This window comes from Homo sapiens, chromosome 5 (genome assembly GCF_000001405.40).
Source record: "Homo sapiens chromosome 5, GRCh38.p14 Primary Assembly".
Lineage (NCBI taxonomy): Eukaryota > Metazoa > Chordata > Mammalia > Primates > Hominidae > Homo > Homo sapiens.
Window position 1 is genome coordinate 61451918 of NC_000005.10, and position 19538 is coordinate 61471455.

Sequence of the window (19538 nt, forward strand, 5' to 3'; positions counted from 1 at the left end):
ATATATATGTAGTATATATTAAAGAATATGTAAGTATGTATGAGTTATAAAACAAAACAATACAAGGAACACTTAGTACCCGCTACTCAACCTTAACAATGTAAGGTTACTGGTACTCTTGGAGCCTTTTGTGTGCCTCTCTCAGATACCTTTACTTCATTTCCCATTTCCCACCCACTGCAGAAATTATCCTGAGCTTTGAGTCAATCATTTTCTTGCTGTTTTAAGGAAAATAATTTCCCACTGAGTGTCCTGTTCCTTTATATACTGTAACCTCCTACTTTTTTCTAGTTTTTCCCCTTAAAAATACTATATTCTGAGATTCATCAAAAGGTTGTGTTTATAGTTCATTCCTATTCATAGCTATATAGTATTCTATATGAATATATTACAGCTTATTGAATCTGCTGCTGGTGGATATTTGGGTTACCAGCTTTTTATTACAAAAATGTTATGAACATTATTTTGCATGTCTCTTGGTGCACGTGTGCAAGTATTTCCCTAGGGTCCTCCTGCCCGTTCTCATGGTATGAAAAAATTCTCTTAATCATTAAATAAAAATATTAGGAATATACTTTAAGTGACCCTGCAGATGTTTGTGGCTTAGATGTTTGTGACCTTTTTGCCACAACTAAGTAACCATATCAAGATTGTCTCTTTTTAAAACTTTGTATTTTGAAATAATTTCAGATTTATAGAAAAGTTGCAAAATAGCACAGAGAGTTCCCATATACTCTTTAACCAACCTCCCCTAATGTTAATATCTGCATTACCATTACCTTGGTACTTTCATCAAAACTAAGAAATAACCTTGGTACAATACCATTAAGTAAACTACAGACTTTATTCAGATTTCCCCAGCATTTCCACTAATATCCTTTTTCTCTTTGAGGATTTAGTCCAGGATACCATATTGTATTTACTCATCATGTTTCCTTAGTTTTCTCCAGTCTACAACAACTTATCTGTCTTTCCTTGTCTTTTATGACCTTGACACTTTTGAAGAGTACTGGTTAGATGCTTTGTAGAAGGACCCTCAATTTGAGTTGTCGATGCTTTTCTTATGATTAGATTGAGACTGTGTGATTTTTGCAGGAATACCACAGAAGTGATGGAGTGTACTTCTCATTGCATTGTATCAGGGAAGTACATGATAGCAACATGATATATTATTGGCTATGCTAACCTTAATCACTGGCTCATTTAAGATGATATCTGCCAAGTTGCTTCACTTTAAAGTTACTATTTTTGCTTTCCATGCTTTTTTCTTTTTCCTTTTTTTAGTTTATTGTTTTTAATCGACATAAAATTGTATGTATTTTACTATGTACAACGTGCTATTTTGAAGTATTATATACATTGTGGGATGACTAAATCTAGCTACTTAACATATATATTACCTCATACAATTATCACTTTTGTGTTTTGTGGTGAGAACACTTTACGTCCACTCTCTCTCTCTTTTTTTTTTTTTTTGTGCCAGGGTCTTACTCTGTCACCTAGTTTGGGTTACAGCGGCGTGATCTTGGCTCACTGCAGCCTGGACCTCCTGGGCTCAAGTGATCCTCCACCTCAACCTCCCAAGTAGCTGTGACTACAGGCATGTGCCACCATGCCTAGCTAATTTTTGTATTTTTTTGTAGAGATGGGGTTTTGCCATGTTGTCCAGGCTGGTCTCAAACTCCTGGGCTCAAGCAGTCCACTTGCCTTGACCTCCCAAAGTGCTGGGATTACAGGTGTAAGCCACCACACCCAGCCACTTTTACTCTCTTAGCATTTTTCAAGAATAACCATGCCTTTTTTTTTTTTAAATTATTATTAGAAGGGAGTCACCAAAGTCCAGTCCACACACTGGGAGGAGAGATTAAACTCCACCTACAGGAGGAGGAGTATCAAATAATTTGTATATATATGCTAAAATCACCACAGTTATTAATAAAATATTGGGGGGGGGAAGATACTTTGAGGCTATGCAGATATTCTGTTTTTCTTTAAAGCTTCACCCACTAATTTTATCATTCATCAGTGAATCTTCTTTGCAGCATTATTACTATGTTATTCTAATGATTAGTTTTATTTCCCTCATTCCTTCTACATTTATTAATTGAAATTCTTCTGTAAGGAAGTTGTGTCCCTTCCCCCATTTATTTATTCAATACTTTATTTATATCAGTATGGTCCATAAATGCTTATTTTATTCTTTGAGTTGTAATCTAACATTGTCACTATTGATTTTGTTGCTCAAATACCTGCAGCCTGTTTGTTGGCAGCTCTTTCAGATTGGGAGAGTTCCCTAAATTTTATTTTATTTTATTTTATTTTATTTTATTTTATTTTATTTTATTTTATTTTATTTTTGAGACGAGTCCTCACTCTTGCCTAGGCTGGAATTCAGTGGCACAATTATGGTTTACTGCAGCCTCAATCTCCTAGGCTCAAGCTATCCTCCTGCTTCAGCCTCCTAAGTAGCTGGGACCACTGGCACATGCCATCACACCCAACTAATTTTTAAATTTTTTGTAGAGATGGGGTCTCCTTATGTTTCCTAGGCTGTTCTTGAACTCCTGGGCTCAGGGCTCACGTGATCTTCCTGCCTTGTCCTCCCAAATTGCTCGGATTATAGGTATGAGCCACCGTGCCTATCCCTAAGTTTTTTTTTTTTTTTTTTTCTTTTCGAGATGGAGTCCCGCTCTGTTGCCCAAGCTGGAATGTGGAATGCAGTGGCGCGATCTTGGCTCACTGCAACCTCTGCCTCCCAGGTTCAAGCAATTGTCCTGCCTCAGCCTCCCAAGTATCTGGGACTAGAGGCATGCACTACCACACCTGGCTAATTTTTTTGTATTTTTAGTAGAGATAGGGTTTCACCATGTTGGTCAGGCTGGTCTCAAACTCCTGACCTGAAATGATCCACCCACCTCGGCCTCCCAAAGTGCTGGGATTACAGGCGTGAGCCACTGCCCCCAGTGAAGGTTTTTTTTTTTTTTTGCACCTCCTTTCTGGCACCATCACATTCTCCAGCTTCATCTTGTAGATTCTTTGTCCCAGTCCTAGAATCAGGCATTCCTTTAAGGAGCTTTGGTTCCCTTTCTTGGGGAGTAGTATTGAGAAACCAAGATCTGGGTGTGTCTTTTTTAAAAAATAGGTATTTGTCTTGGGGAAAAAAATAGCTTTCCTGTGTTAGATTTAAATAGTTTATCCTCAAAGTCATTTTATTTTTGAGAGAAAAGTAATTTATAAAAAAAATAGTTTTCTTCCTTGTTAATATTAGCAGTAGTAATTAAAGATGTTACTACATCATATATTTCTAGTAATAAGTAATTTTAGAATTTTCCTTTTCTAGTTCATGGCACTTTTGTGGAAAACTTGAAAAAGTCCATTCATTTCCTCTAATGATTATTTTCTATGTGGGGTGCAATTGAGAACAATGAAACAAGGACAAAGGAAGGGCCTGTGATGCTGCTGAGCAAAATTCACCAATATCCCCGCACTGAAGCTTAAGCCTGAACTCAGAAGAAAATCTCCGACTTGTACTCGGACCTCATTTACTCTTATTTACACAAAACTCCAAAAACAGTGGTTATCTGGTTTCCAAACTCCTGGAAGATTTAAACCAGCATTTTAGAAGAACCAGAAGGATGCATCTATTAAGTAAGATGTCAGCAATGAGAAGGGGCACCTGACTTCCGCAAGGAAGGAGAGAGGGAGCAGACGGAGCACTTGGCTAGCGGGGCAGTGCAGATCTCTATAGCTAAAGGACTGGTAGCCCAGCTTAGTGAGGCAGTGAGGGCAATACTGGGAGCACCTAGTACAGTAAATTTGTTCATAATGATAACTTTGTGTCATTAAGCAAGTGTTAAGTTAGATTCCCCGCCCCGGCCTTCTCCTCCACCCCCGCCTTCTCTCCCCCCGCCCCCGCCCCCACTGTTAACACTGTTAAGGAAGCTAGGGAAGTGTTGATAAGTTTTCAAAAGACTTTCATCACCTGGTAAAATGAAAATGCTGGTTTCAAGAATAAACCTTTCCTCAGTTATTCAGGCTGAACCTTTTATTCTTTAGAATTATCGAGAGGTGAAGTTTTTGCCTATTTAGTACTACTGTCTGTAAAGTCACAGTCTTGAAAATCGGATCCTCATTTAATCTGATTATGCCAGCATAGTCTTCCCTTAAGGTATCAATCTTTTATTTCTGATTTTCTCCCTTAAAATTATATCATTATAGGGCTGTCATTGTTACACCAGGAGAGTTCAATTTCACAGAAAGATTTTATATATTGGAGGCCTTCTCAAAAAGAATATGAATATAGTTTTCATATATTTATTTAGAAAAAATCTGAAACCAAATTTGTTTTAGGAGAATCATCAAAGGGAATTAAGTGGGATTTCTTAGTTTTTAAGATAATATTTTAAGGCTAATACTTCTCAAATCTGGCTAGATTTTTTACTTTCTTGGTTAACAAAATGCTGAATTTTGATATATAAAAAAGTATGTAAATGTAGACTTGTCCTCCTAATAGACCGGCAGAGGTGACCCCACCAAGGAAAAAAAAAGAAAACAAAAACCTTATTCTTAGAGTAACTGCAGATGTCCCCAGCTAGTTTATAAGTGGTCCAGGTAGCGTTTACAGTTGCTGGGGAATACAGCTGCCACAAGAAATGATTCTCTTAGCCTTTCAAATGAATTTCTCCTGCTGTGCATATGTATATAAAGGTAACTTTGATAGCAGAGTGAAGGATAAGGGAAAGAGGCAAGGTACAAATGTGTTCAGTAGAGGTTGAAAGTGTGGAAAGAATTTGAAAGAATAAATGTTAGGAGGAGAGAGAAGTGAAAGAGAACCAGTTAGACCAGTAGTAAGATACAGCTGTAGCTATCATTTATTGTATCTTTTCTTCTATCATATTTTACAGTACTAACATTTATAGGTTTCTGAAGCAGGGAAATCAATTTCTGTTGAAGATTAAACCTTATCCAATTTCTTTTTTTTTTTTCTTTTTTTTATTATTATTATACTTTAAGTTTTAGGGTACATGTGCACATTGTGCAGGTTAGTTACATATGTATACATGTGCCATGCTGGTGCGCTGCACCCACTAACTCGTCATCTAGCATTAGGTATATCTCCCAATGCTATCCCTCCCCCATCCCCCGACCCCACCACAGTCCCCAGAGTGTGATATTCCCCTTCCTGTGTCCATGTGATCTCATTGTTCATTTCCCACCTATGAGTGAGAATATGCGGTGTTTGTAAACCTTATCCAATTTCTGATTACCTGTCTACTTTAGAGAAAAGAAGCAAATTCATTTTAACCTCAAGTAGCAGGGTTCGTACTGTGCCAAAGAAATTAGTTTGAATTATTATGAAACGTTTGATGAGCTGATGTGTTCGATTTATACATGAATAGCCATTTCCCTTTTCCTCAAAATTCTGGAGCCTGAAAACTAGCCATATATTTCAGTTCTCAGGCAGTTTTCATTTTGTTGTTTTTGTTTTTATTGAGGAATTTTCCTTGACTGTATATCCAATATATTTATATTTTAGGCAAGTAAAGTATCCTTTGTAAACATAACAATTGTGATTGACTAAATAAGTGGCCCCTCTATCTTTTTTTTTATTTTTATTTTTTGAGACAGAGTTTCACTCTTGTTGCCCAGGCTGGAGTGCACTGGCGTGATCTCGGCTCACTACATCCTCTGCCTCCCAGGTTCAAGCAATTCTCCTGCCTTAGCCTCCTGAGTAGCTGGGATTACAGGCACCTGCCTCTATGCCTGGCCAATTTTTTGTATTTTTAGTAGAGATGGGGTTTCACCATGTTGGCCAAGCTGGTCTCGAACTTCTGACCTCAGGTGATCCACAAGCCTCGGCCTCCTAAAGTGCTGGGATTACAGGTGTGAGCCGCTGCACCCAGCCCCATATATCTTTTGACTAGTATCTGATGATACTGAAGTACTGTGTTTTTGTCTGCATTTAATCTGTATGTTATTTTAGTTTTATAATGAAATAGGGCAATAATCAGTCATTGAATCATATATATTATGCCAGTTATTTCTCAAATTTCCCCCTCTTTAATTGCCATTAAAAATCTCTTCTAGAATTATTCTTGTTTTATCATTTGATGCCCCATATTATGTGGACTATATTTAAATCATCACCTATTCTCAAGAATGGATAATAATATAGTCTCTTTGAGGTTGGATACATATATTTGCCTCTGAGTATGTAGATGCTTGGATAAGTATTCTAGTTACCTCTAAATGACTTGAAATATACCAAAAATACATTTTTAATTACAATAAAATTCTTAAAAAGCATCCTCAAAAGTATTTATTATAAACCAAAGAAAAAAATAACGAGGCAAAAGTCTAGGTTTTCACCATGCATTTTGACTATGAGTATATATATTTTGGCTGCTTTTGACTTACTTAGAATCTAAAAATTTTACAGTTTGAGAATCTATGAGGAGATCTGCAAGAATGCCCTTAACCTAAATAAATGAGTAGATAACAGAGATCCTAAACTTTGAAATACTCTACATAATTTTGTGCATATTTGGAGGGGAACATCTGTTGCCCTTTTTCAGATTCTCTAGTGATCTACGCTCCCTCCCAACCTTCTGAAAAAGAAGGTAAGAGACCACTGATCTAGTCCTTCAGCTTTCTTTTTCAGGTATACAGATGAGACCAGGCTGGACGCCGTGGCTCATGCCTGTAATCCCAGCACTTTGGGAGGCTGAGGCAGGTGGATCACTTGAGGTCAGGAGTTGGAGACCAGCCTGGACAACATGGAGAAACCCCGTCTCTACTAAAACTACAAAAATTAGCTGGGCATGGTGGCAGGCACTTGTGGTCCCAGCTACTCGGGAGGCTGAGGCAGGAGAATCACTTGAACCCATGAGGCGGGGGCTACAGTGAGCCGAGATCATGCCACTGCCCTTCAGCCTGGGCAACAGAGCGAGATTCCTTCTCAAAAAAAAAAAAGAAAAAAAAAAAAGGAGGCCAAAGACTCGAGGTAAACAGCTAATTGGTAGCAGAGCTGGGATTAAAACTCAAGTCTCTTTCCCAGGTCAGTTCTAATTCCATTTATACTACCATTCCTCAGACACATATTTGATTCTGAAGCCTAAGCCACTATGTACATAATTGCTACTTAATTAGCACTCTTTCACATTTGAAACCATTTGGGTTTACATTTCTTGTTAAAAAAGAACAGAAGTCAAAAATTTGGCAGTGATTCATAGTTATCTGTTGTAAAATTTATTTTAAATCCTAAAGTTTAGCAACATAAGATAATCATTTTTCATAAATAGCTTTATTTAACAGTTATTTGATATTGAAAGGAAAATTGTAGTTAGATCCCTGGGCCAGTAGCTGATTTTTTTTCTGACTTTTTTCTATAGTGTTGTTATCAGTATCCAACAAACATGCTCTTTTGGGCTAATAAAATGGAATATATCTGTTCCTTTATATTATAGATGCTTTGCTTTCAGAAGAAGTAAGTAAAAACACATTTCTATTTGTGTATAGTAGTATAGTGTATAGTATTAGTGGAATTTTTATGAGATTTTTGCAAAAGTCACACTTTAATCAAGGATATTATCTACAATAAGAGTTTAGTTCTTAGTCACAACTCTTTCATATATGCATCATGGGCAAGATACATAGATCGTTTGCTTTCAGACTTTGCTATCTTGAAGCTTCTCACAATAGAACTCTCTGGTAGAGTATTCAGATTTCATTTAACCTTGTATTAAATAAAAGCTTTACATTTTTATTTATTCATTCACTCAATAAGTATTCATATGTCAGGCACTGTTCTAGGTACTTCTAAGTGCCACCAGATCTTAGCAGTCTTTTTTGCATATAGCCATGGATCTCTGTTGTTGTATTATAGAATAAACTCCAATGCAGTATTTTCATGTTAGACTCTTTCAGGTCCTCCCGCAAAGGGAATTTGAGCTTTGCCACTCAAATTTTAAGGATTTGGATATAAAATATTGTAAACACTTTCTCAGCCATGTGAGTCAAGAGTGTGTGGTATTCTGTTTACTCAAATATTAATAGATATTTCTGGTTGAGAGTATGCCAGATGAAGTTTTGACTGTGCTGCAAATAACAACAGCATTGGTGTATTTTCTTTTGTCTGGCATTATAAGAAGGTTGACTTTCAACGATGTTTACCTTTTCCATTAAATACTTGTTCTTTGGTTCTTTCATAGTGGATGAGGGATATTGATGATGTGGCATCTCCAGCCTTTCAGCCATACATGTCCAGGTAGTCTTGAACTCCTGGAGAAAAATCACAAAATCCTTTCAGTTGGCTCATGCTGATTGATGATTCTAAACTCAGTTGAGCCCATAGTTCTGTTTATCAGCTCTACTGCTTATACTGAATTATGGTTTGTTTTTTTTTAATATCTTACAGCAGTTATTGTAGACCTTTTACTAGTAAATAGAGCTCATTAGGTGTCCTGTTACTGTATGAGTTCTTACAGCGGTTACCATTTTCATGTGCTTTTGAATCTTCAAAAGGTGGTGAAACTTAATCCAAACTTGTAAGACCTTGGGAACCCTTCCCTCTTCTGTTAACATACATAGAACATGGCTTCGGAAATGGGGTCTGTACTGTAGTTTCTCTTCTTTCTAAAATTTACATTGTATTAGATATTATCTCTTCTTATTTCCAAATCCAACTTAATCTGTCTTGTTAACTCAAATTGTCCAATAATGCAGTGACTTCTCAGAACTGGAACCCTGTGTTATTCATGGATGCCTCCCGGGAGACTTGTATATTTCCTGTTACAAAGTAGGGGATTAAGGAAGTGGTTGTTGAGTATCATAATATATAATGTTCATAATATATAATAGATAATAAGAGAAAGAATACATCCTTTTATGTAGCAGACAGACAAGATGATCCATAGGTTTCATTCCGTTTTTTAATGGGTTTTATTTTATGTTTCTATATTATTTATTCTATATTTTTATATATTTTGCATAGATAAACCCTACCTATATTTATGTATTTTGAGATTTCTTTATACAGCTGGAAATTTTGCCAGCTGTATAGAACACAACAAAAAGATATAATGCCCTAAGAATCTCACTTTCAGGCAGATGAGTAAAAATTATGTTGGTAAAAATTAAACACTTACTTGCTTTTGTATTTAATTTTGGAGTTTTTAAAAAATTTCCCCCCAAATGCCAGTGACACAAATGTGACTGCAGCTATTGTCATATTTATCCTTTCTCTCTCCCCTTCCCTGAGCCAAAGCCACCAGGTCATTTGAGATGACCATTGATTCAACCCTGTAGTAGCCAGGCAAGGTCAAAAGTCTTATGCTATATAAGTGAGTATAGCAACTACCACCCCATATCTTGTCATGGTTGGCTCTCTATTACTGCTGCCTCCCTCCATAATTTTTTAGAAATCATTCATTATCTATTTCCCTTATTTAATAAGTGAGAGAAAAAGAGGGAACAAGAAATAGATATTAAATAACTTGCCAGTGGGGCTAGAATTACATAATGGCTGAAATTAGAATCAAGAGTCCCAGTCTCTCTGCCTTGTCTTACTTTTGAGTTGTGTAGCCGGTCCTCTTCTGTGGACTGTGGCTAAGCCATAAGGTGGGTTCAGCATCCAGTGGAAAGCTTTGGAGTGCCCTGTTGCTATAGTAGGCTGGACCAGTCAGTAAGGCAGAGCTGTACTGATGACTGTCAGTGTTTGTACTGGGGGTGTGGTTATTACCAGGCTCTCAGAACAGGTGCTGGAAATCATTTATTAAGTCAAATTCTTCACTCAGGAAGACTTTGAACAGTGAAAGCAGTTTTTTTTTCTTATAAGCAGTATGTGTTCATTGTAGAAATTTCAGGAAAAAACACTCCCCCCAACCAACTAAAGCAAGGAAAATAAAATATTACCTGTAATTACAGTGCTCCAAGATATGGGTGGTAATGACTTAGCCGGTTTTATCTGCCTTTTGAACAGATGACCTCTTTGCTTATTTTTCATCATTATGTATTTAAGAAAAAATGTGCCATTTAGCCAAGGTAAAAATATATCTACCTCACTGTTCTTAAAGCGTACAAATTGGGCAGAGAGGATTTTCTTCCCAGCTGGCTCTCTACAGTAAGGGAAATGACAGTAACTTACAGTCCTTGCAGGAGCTAGTGTTCCTTGAGATTCTTTGAGGAGAGCTGGAGCTCTGACTTCACTTTGCTTGTCAGGCTATAAATTAGTGAAGATGAAAAGCTGTGGTCACTTTTTCTTCCCAAAACAAGAATTACTAGTCTCCTTACTCTTGCATCCAACTTTGAATTAGTTTTCCCCTCAGGGACAAGATAGACTTGAGCTGTAGAAAATAATTTTATATACCTCACATGGAAGGCAAACATTAGGGATAAAAGGGATGTTTTATATTTTAGTAGAGAGAAATCTTCAAAGGGAAGAGTGAAACATTTCTTTAACTGATTAAAACTAAAAGTTATTTTGTGGAAAAATTAAGTCTTCTAAATCCTTTTCATTTTCCTTCAAATTACATTTTTAAAATGTGCTATGTAAAATTGGAACAACAGAAAAAAATGACGGCAGTTCTATTAGTTTGGAAGTATGGATATATTAGCTATGGATTAGCACAACAACAAACCATAGTCCATTATTGTAGTAGAATGCCAGCATGCTCCTGGGAGCTTGGCATTTCCAGCAGCAAGTGCACTTACACTAACGGGCTAGGGTTTTAGTGCATGTGTTGAAAACGCCAAGCTTCCCAGAGTATGTGGCATTTCTATTACAATAATGATGATGGCAGGCATTCCATAAAAGGAGTTGTGATGGTTTGTATGTAGTCAGTTTTTGTCCTTACAGCTGTCCTACAAAATAGGTATTATTATCCCTTTTTATAGATGAAAACATCAAGGCTAAGTTCACCAAACTGAGATAGTGATGGAGCTCGAAGGAAGACCGATCTTGTTTTAAAAAGTGCTAATTCTCTTTCCAGTCCTACCCCACCTTGTGCCATCCTGCATTCTGTTGCCTCTGACTTTCTCATATAAGGTGTACTTTGCCTCAGGTGAAAAATGTGTTACTAAAATAGCTGCCTATATATTTTTTTCATTAATTGAATTGCTTCTAATATACAAGTAACTCCCAATTATGAGGAATCCCAGGGATGTTGTAAAACAGTCTCTTTGCAGAAGTAAATACTCTCTGATTATTTAAAACTTTTAGTATTTTAATTTAGATTTTTAATGAAGATTTTACTGAAAAGATGATCTAGCTTTAAGTATTAATAACTATGATAGTAACAGCTTTTGTTATTATGTTATTTTTACTTTTATTTTGTAATGCTCAGACCAGTTTCTGACTTAGAATGGGAACATTTAGGTTACATAAGAAGCAAGATATTGTATATATTTTTAATATCATGAGTTATACATTCTTCACTGTTCCATTTACTATGTTTGCTCAAATATATCTTGGCTAGAAAAGACTTGTTGAGGCTGTAATTCTAATCCTCTAAGTCAGTGGTTCTCAAACTTTGGTCCCTGGACACCAGCATTATCAGCATCACCTGGGTTAAACCAGAAACCCTGGACATATGGGGTCCAGCAATCTTTGTTATCATATGCACATTCCAGTGTGAGAACCACCGATCTATATGTTCCACATGCCAAGAGTGTGTGTGTGTTCTTTCATCTTAACAAATTCTTCTGGAGTACCTCCTCCAAGATAGTCCTCTGTGATGGGGATTCCACAGACCTCTGCTATCTCTGAGCTTCCCGTTTAGCTTGAAGTATAGAGAGGAGTGGACTCTTAAAAATAGTCTTTCATGAAGTTAAAGTATCCTGGGCTTGGGGCCAGAGCATTTAGTTATTTGTGACTTTTACAGTGCAGGGTGGGCATTACTTGGAAGAACCCCATGAGTTCTTTCATTTGATGTACTTTCGAGGGCCTGGCCTATTCTAAGAACTGTGCTGGATCCTTGGGCTACAGAGATGAAAGAGCTCTGCCTCCAAGCTTCTCAACCCTAGCAGAGTTTACTCAAGTGTCTGGATCTGTTAGTTTGCCTCTCCTTCATCTATCTTTTCTTTTCTTTTCTTTTTAGATGGGGTTTCGCTCTTGTTGCCCAGGCTGGGGTGCAGTGGTGCAATCTAGCTCACTGCAGCCTCTGCCTCCTGGGTTCAAGCGATTCTCCTGCCTCAGCCTCCCAAGTAGCTGGGATTACAGGTGCATGCCAACACACCCGGCTAATTTTTTTTTTTTTTTTTTTTTTTTTTTTTTTTTGCATTTTTAGTAGAGATGAGGTATCTCCATGTTGGCCAGGCTAGTCTCAAAACTCCTGACCTCAAGTGATCCACCTGTCTCGGCCTCCCAAAGTGTTGGGATTACAGGCGTGAGCCACCATGCCTTGCCTCCCTCATCTTTTAAAATCATTTATGTGTTGGAGTAGAAAGGTTTTATTTGTGTAAGTTTATTATTCGAATTGTAGAAACCTTATGTTCCCTTCAGTTCTACTTAATCCAGAGTGTGTTCTACCACGGCCTCTCCTAGAGAACATCAGTTTCTTCACCTGTAGAAAGGGGAATATGATGCCTGCTTTGCAGGATGGTTGTGAGAATTAAGTGGGTTAGAGCCTGGGCATAGGGCAAGGCATTAGGAATGGTTAGCGCCAAAATGTGAGGACTCATGTTGGGGTGAGGGATCAGGTGAGAGCTCCAGAGTGTGGGTGGAAGAATTTGGCTGCCAAAGGCCTACATTTCTCCCCTCCCAGGTCTGAGCATACTTTCCCCTTCCTCTTGGCCCTGGTAAACAGAATTAGTCTCCTGTTTCCTCTTCACCACCACTCCTAAAGCAAACAGCCAAGCATTTCCAAAGGTTGTTTTGCTGTGAGCAGCAATGGGAAATAAATAGGTAAAAGGATCTTCTGCTTCCTCCTCGTTTACACCCGGTCCTTGGGAGGCAAGATAAAGTACGCAGAGATGCCAAGAGTTGCCACTTGGGCACCAAAGGGCTCTAATAAACTTCATCTGCACTTCAGAATTTTGGGACCCAGGTGAGAGGCCAAAGTGAGCAGTGAGAGGAAGCAGCAGTGAACTGAGGTGGGGGCAATGTGGGGTGTGCAGGTGACAAGGGATCCTAGAGAGGAAGGGCTGCAGGGCTGTCCCCACCTTTAAGAAGGGTGGAAGGCCAGAGCTGCTTTCTTTGTATTAGAAAAGGTTGGCATCAGAGAAAGCAGCTTATGTTTAAAAGATTGGGGCAAATAATTTACATTCCTAAGCATTTTGCAGAGTTACAGTTGTGAAAATAATTCAAATTCCACCAATTTTTCTTTTAATCACAACCCCCTCCCCAACTGCCCACCCAGAATTTGAGGCTAGACAATGATTGTTTCCCTTAAGTATGCAAGTTAAAATACAGAAATACATCTTGAAAAATTAGTTGATAGTAATTTGTTGTTGGTGGTAGGGAACCCTTATGTGCTTCAGGATTTGGTATGACGGAGTGATATGACTTTTTTTTTTTTTTTTCTAGTTCAACACTTCCCCTTAAACTAGTGGTACTTCTAGGTGCCCACTGCAGATATCCAAATTAGTGGATGAGAGTCTTATTTTCAAAAATAATTTTAAATAATTATCTAATGCCACTCATATCTAACACAGGTATTCTGATCACTTGGATTCTTGTAAGAAAATGGTGTAAGAATCTACATTAATGAGAAAACAACCAATACTGAGCAGAATGCTGCTGGGAACTCTTAGTTGGGCCCATCCAATGCATGCTCCGTAAATTTTTATGTTGTTTGTATGGTATGCTGTGGTTTACAGTCTGGCCTTTGCATTAATTTGCCATTGTTTTTCTCTCAAATATTAATGAAGTGTAGGAGTGATTGAGTTCTAAATAGGCATTTTTAAGGTAGTCTTAAAATAAAGCTTTTCCTTTAAAAAATATTTTTTTCAGAAAGATGAAAACCACTTCATTAGTGATTGCCGGCAAAATCTCCTAATGTCTTTCTATAAGCTGTTTAAGCTTAGCATTAGAAATTAGTGCTAGAGGATTTAATTAGCCAGCTCACAGGATGCAGTCCCTTTAATTTAGGATTTCCCTTTGAGAAAATTATGGAGTTGAAAAGGAATATGATATTTCATACAAGTTTCCATCTTGGGCCCTTATGTTGTTTGTTCTGCTGATCTGGAAATTGTACATGATTTACATTAAAACTTTTTGTTTTTAATATCGATTATTGTAGTGTGGGGTGTTAGATTATGTGCAATAGTTCTCAGAGTTGGGAAAGGTAAAAGGGTTTTTTTGGGCAATGATTAACTCATCTACTTTACCAGGGTTACATAATCAAGTATTAGTTACTATACATTTAGCTAATGCAGTGGGTTTAGTTAAGCAATGAATACATTATCATGGGAGCATTAACACTTTTGCATTTTTAGACTTGCCTTTAAAAAAATTACAGAAAAACTCCTCACAACCCTTGCCACCCTTTCAGCCATAACATTACATTGCCTTGGTTTCTGCCTTTAATTTCCCTGGGGGTTCTTTTTATTTAGGAAAAGGGTGAAAGATGTATTTGTGTAAGTACTACACCAGTGCTTCTGTTAAATTCTTTTTCAACAAAGAATATGTTACTTGGGTGCCTTGTACACAGGGCGCATATTTTTTTGGAAATAATGTGCCATGAAAGCAGTAGTTTTTAGTGTGCATGTTTATTTCATGTCTGCCAGTTTATTTTAGCTTAGAAATTTCCTAATGCTTTGAGTTTATAACAGTCTTTCAGTTTATAACAGTCTTTCAGTTAACTGAGTGCATATACATAATATGCACAAAATGGCCAACTTTTAGAAATTGTGTATTTTAAAATCCCTTTTTTTTCAGTCTGATATCATGTGTCTCCTTGTTCCCTTTAATATGCAACTAAAATTTAACCTAAGATATGAAAAATATGTTAAGAAAAGCTTAATTTCTTAAGCTTAATTTGGAACGTCAATGAAGAATTAAACATTTGCTTTCTAGAAACCTTAATCTTTGTTAATGTGAAATTAACATAGATGATTTGAATATGTGTTCATGTGTGAGGACTTTGCCCCTTCAGTGTTTCTCTACTGAGTCTTTTTGACCTACTATAAGAGCTAAGTGCAAATAATGCCACATCAATATGGCGTAGAGAAGAGTTCTTTCTTCCGCCTGTTGGCAGTGCATTATAAGAGCAGTTCTTCAACTTTCTGGTATCACTCTTAATAATGGAAGTGCCCATAGCGCTTTTGCTTATGAGAATTATATCTAGTGATATTTACTATGTTTGAAATTAAAAAGAAAAAAATATCTATATCAAATAACAGTAATAAACTCACAACATAATATATCTTTATTAAAAAATCTGCAGTTCTCAAAACAAAATATTTTAGTGAACAGGGTGACATTGTTTTATATTTTTGCAAGCCTATTTAATGTCTGTATCAAAAGAGAGCTGGACTTTGCTGTCTGTCTCTGTATTCAGTTTGTAATGATACTGGAATGTGATATCATTACATTACACATTGCGTACTAATGTGATACTGGAAAACTAAACATACATTAATGAAGAAGATTTTAAAGGGTTAATAATGTCTAGATGTAAGTATTTTTTAAAATATTGATCTTGTGGACCCTCTCAAAGAGACTTAGGGACCTCTTAGGGGTCCCAGGACCATACATTGAGAATCATTGCATTATAACATTTTAGAATCCTATAGTTACTAGAAAAGATTCTCCCCTAATACTTTCTAGTTTCTCTCTGTATGAAAGTAACACTCTTTTACAAAATCAACTATTTGTGAGTTGACAGAACTTAATAGGAAAATGGGGAAAGAGAGCTGGGTTGAGTAAAGGTATAAGTAACTCTTTGAAATACTTTGGTTTTGCCATCAAATAGCAGTGATTCTTCTACTATTGTCTGACTCACTTAACTGAGACATTCTCAGTGATCCCTCTCATTTTCCAAGCCACCTCCACGGGCTAGACCCCTCCTCCCCTCAAGATTCCAGTAGCTTAGAAAAAGAAAGTGTTATGGGTGAAAGGGAATGTGTCCACACCCCTCCCCTGTTTCTCCAGCTGGGAAGGGAAGGAAAGGGAAATAAAATTTAATGAGCACTTTTACTATGTGCCAGGTGCTTTACATATGTTATTTCATTTTAATTCCCCAAACAACCCTAGGAGGTATTTCTAGCCACATTTTGCACACAAATAAAGCAAGATTCAGAGAGGTTAAATATTTAATATAAGATATGTAGCATTTAAGTGGCAGAACCTGATCCAAACCAAAGTCTATTCCCAAGGACTATACAACACCGTGCCTTGGTTTGTGGTTTGTTTTTCTTCAGTTCCTGCAGATTAAAAATGGGGATTCTAACATTTTATTGGGTTCTGTGACAGCATGATGATAAAACAGTTTGACTGCTCTGTGAAGCTCTTGTGGAATTAACTGTCTTTCACAGATTATGTTTTATAAAGTCAAATAAATATTTTAAGAAAAGGTTTATATAATTTATGTTTTAGTTCTACAGTTAATTATCTGTGTTTTTCCACAGAGCGCAGGATTGTCCCTTTTTGTATGCTCAATTCTGTTATATAGAACAGCTAACTATCCTAGAGGAAGATTCTGCATTTGCAGCCCTAAAACAGCTGGTCATCATAGTTTGTCAAAACTCCGGAAAGGCAAAATCAATTCTCAGGAACATTATTTTGTCTTGAAACAAAACCTAAGAGGTATGACCAGCAGGGGGATGTTTTACAGCCTTCTTGGGATTATTGAGGGAGGAACAGTGTCCTTGTTTGTCCTGTGGGTTCTCAGGTATGATTTAGGATCCACAGAGAATGAGTTGGTAGAATTTCAAAGAAGATTTCTCAAATTGGAGAGGCCAAAATACACCACTATACAAGGCTGAAGTAGGCTTGGTTGAATTCCTGCATATTGACTGAGTCAATGTATTGCATAGTCTTATAAAGTAATATACCAGCTGCCCTTTATGTGTATATGTATAATTTTCTGTATTTAAGGTAAAACTTCTCTACTTTAGCATGCTCACCTAAAGGTAAGGGGAACCCCCAGCCCCCGCCCGCCAAACAAAACAAAACGAATAGGCCTCAGAGCATTAAATAGCTGCCACAAAGCTAGTCAAATTAGAGATGGCATTAACTGAGGAAAAGAAGTTTCTATAAAGAAAGTTAGCAGTATAGGAGAGGAGTCATCCTGGTAGCTGATGGTGAAGAAAGGTAACAAAAAGAGCCAACTTTAAAAATACTGCCATCTGCAGTTATCTGTTAGAGTTCTTCCTCATTCAGTAACACCCTAAATGGTCTCCTGATTAGGCGGGCAGAGTAGAATTTGTGACATTTAGAAATATTTCTGTCAAAAATGGTTGAAATTTTTTGGGCATTTGAAAGATAATCTAGAATTACTTGGAAAATGAACATTCATAAAACACCGTAATCTTTGATGATCTCAGAATAATGAGTGTTATGCTGTAAGACATGTATATGTTTATTTGTGCCTTCACATTTCTCTTGGAATTTAAATTGTTTTGGAGGTCACAATATTTTATAGTTTGCTTTTTAAAAAACTTTACAAGAATAGTAAATTTTAAGTAACAAAACTGTATAATATGTGGGATCCCTTCTGCATAATTGTATAATGTCAAGATTCAATATACTTCTTTTCTGACTTGTACTGTATAACTCATGTGAATAAAGCAGGTCATTTTTGCAGAAACCATTTGAGGGCTTCACCAGTTTTTATAAGGCCTCCCCCCAACCTTTTTTTTTTAGACAGAGTCTCACTCTGTCGCCCAGGCTGGAGTGCAGTGGTGCAATCTTGGCTCACTGGCTCACTGCAAGCTCCGCCTCCCGGGTTCACGCCATTCTTCTGCCTCAGCTCCCCGAGTAGCTGGGACTACAAATGCCTGCCCCCATGCCTGGCTGATTTTTTGTATTTTTAGTAGAGACGGGGTTTCAGCGTGTTAGCCAGGATGGTCTCGATCTCCTGACCTCGTGATCCGCCTGCCTCGGCCTCCCAAAGTGCTGGGATTACAGGCATGAGCCACCACTCCTGGCCAATAGTTAAATCAGTCTTTTTTGAAGCATCTGTTATCTCCTGGTAGACTCTTTAAATACTAACTGGTTTAACGCTTGGATCCTTAATTGTCTTGGCTTTGCCTGTAATTAGAATAGTTCTCCATCTTCAAGGTGTGGGGATGGGGAAAAAGTTATCTCCAATATCACTTTTGCAGAGAGACAAAGACATTGAGTTGGTTGGTGAAGAGAGATGTGATAGTGTTAAGTGGGAAGAGACTGATTTTATAAATGGTCAGTTTAGGATAACTGTTTTCCTATTAAGATAACCGGTTTCCCCGTGCAAGTACATATATGACAGGTGGAAAACAGAGTTTGCCTTGAACTAAATGTACAGAATGTGCTTGGGAACTTTCCAGACTCTCTCTTATGCTCCCTTGGTAATTTTTTTGTCTTGATCTGTGCTGTCCCATGAGTTTTTAATTATTATAGGTTTATAGTACATCTGCATATATTACAGCAAGACTGCCCTCATTATTCTTCATTTTTGAGATTTGCTGGGGTGTTTACTTTTTCATGTGACTTTTTCTTCATCGGAACATAGATATTTAAAAATTTTAGAATATATACTATGTACTCTTTCTTTAATTGTGGTTTTTCAGAAAAAGTTGTTGATTAAAAGAGATAAAGGAGACTGGAATATCCATTCTGAAACAGTGAGAATATTTGTGAAAAAAAAACCAAAGATTATTATATGACAGTTCTCAAAATTTCTTATCGTGAAGCAGTAATAGTGACTTGTTTTTAGGGAATGCTCTTTTTTCATTGTTTCATTGGATAAAGATTATTGCAGCACCTTTCTCCTTTTACTAAATGTTGCTGACTAAGAATGATCAAGGTGAAATTATATTACCTCTGAAAGATTTCTTAGGAGTAGCATTTCTTTCAACTGTCTGGCCTGGGTGGACTCTGCATGGGAAGACAGTAAGTGGGGTTCAGATGTCCTGTGTGTAAACTCTTACCATTGTCTGGCCATCATTCTTGAGTTTTACATCTGCAGCTCCATGTGCACCACCCGTTCCAGAGTCCCCACATGGTAGCAATCCTTTTCTTTGTGAATGAAGGGGAACTGGAAGAAACAGTGGCTAGCTAGATGAATTTTATTAAAGTAGCATCAATAGAGGAAGACTGGGAGAGAGCCCAGGGCTTCACTGTGTAGCATTCAAGTTTCTGTCAGGTACCTGAAATCCTGAGGTCAGTCTGAGTCGTGGAGGTTCCCAAAACTATATTCTTCTTACTCCCTTCAGGCTTATCCTTGGCCACTGAATATGGCTTTGAGAGAGAGAGAGAGGGTGGAACTGAATGGATGCTCCCCCTTACCACCCACCCCAATTTAGGATAGCCTTCCTATGCAATGTAGGGAAAGAGAGCATGGAGGAGTTGTCCTCTGGCCAAGCTGGTCAGGACTACCTGGTGGGCACTGGTGGTGGAA

At 37.4% G+C, this 19538-nt stretch overlaps 1 protein-coding gene across 3 annotated transcripts in view; it reads left to right on the forward strand.

Moving 5' to 3' along the window:
• The window catches only part of ZSWIM6 (zinc finger SWIM-type containing 6), a 213915-nt gene that overhangs the window by 119660 nt on the left and 74717 nt on the right, over positions 1–19538 (forward strand). For 2 of the 3 annotated variants that reach the window (XM_047417453.1, XM_024446139.2), the window contains exon 1: positions 12276–16744. The exons of the other annotated variant lie outside the window; for it this stretch is intronic. The gene's annotated coding sequence lies outside the window, so the exon portion shown is untranslated. Of the gene's footprint in view, positions 1–12275; positions 16745–19538 lie in introns of those variants that run through there. 3 annotated transcript variants of the gene reach the window in all.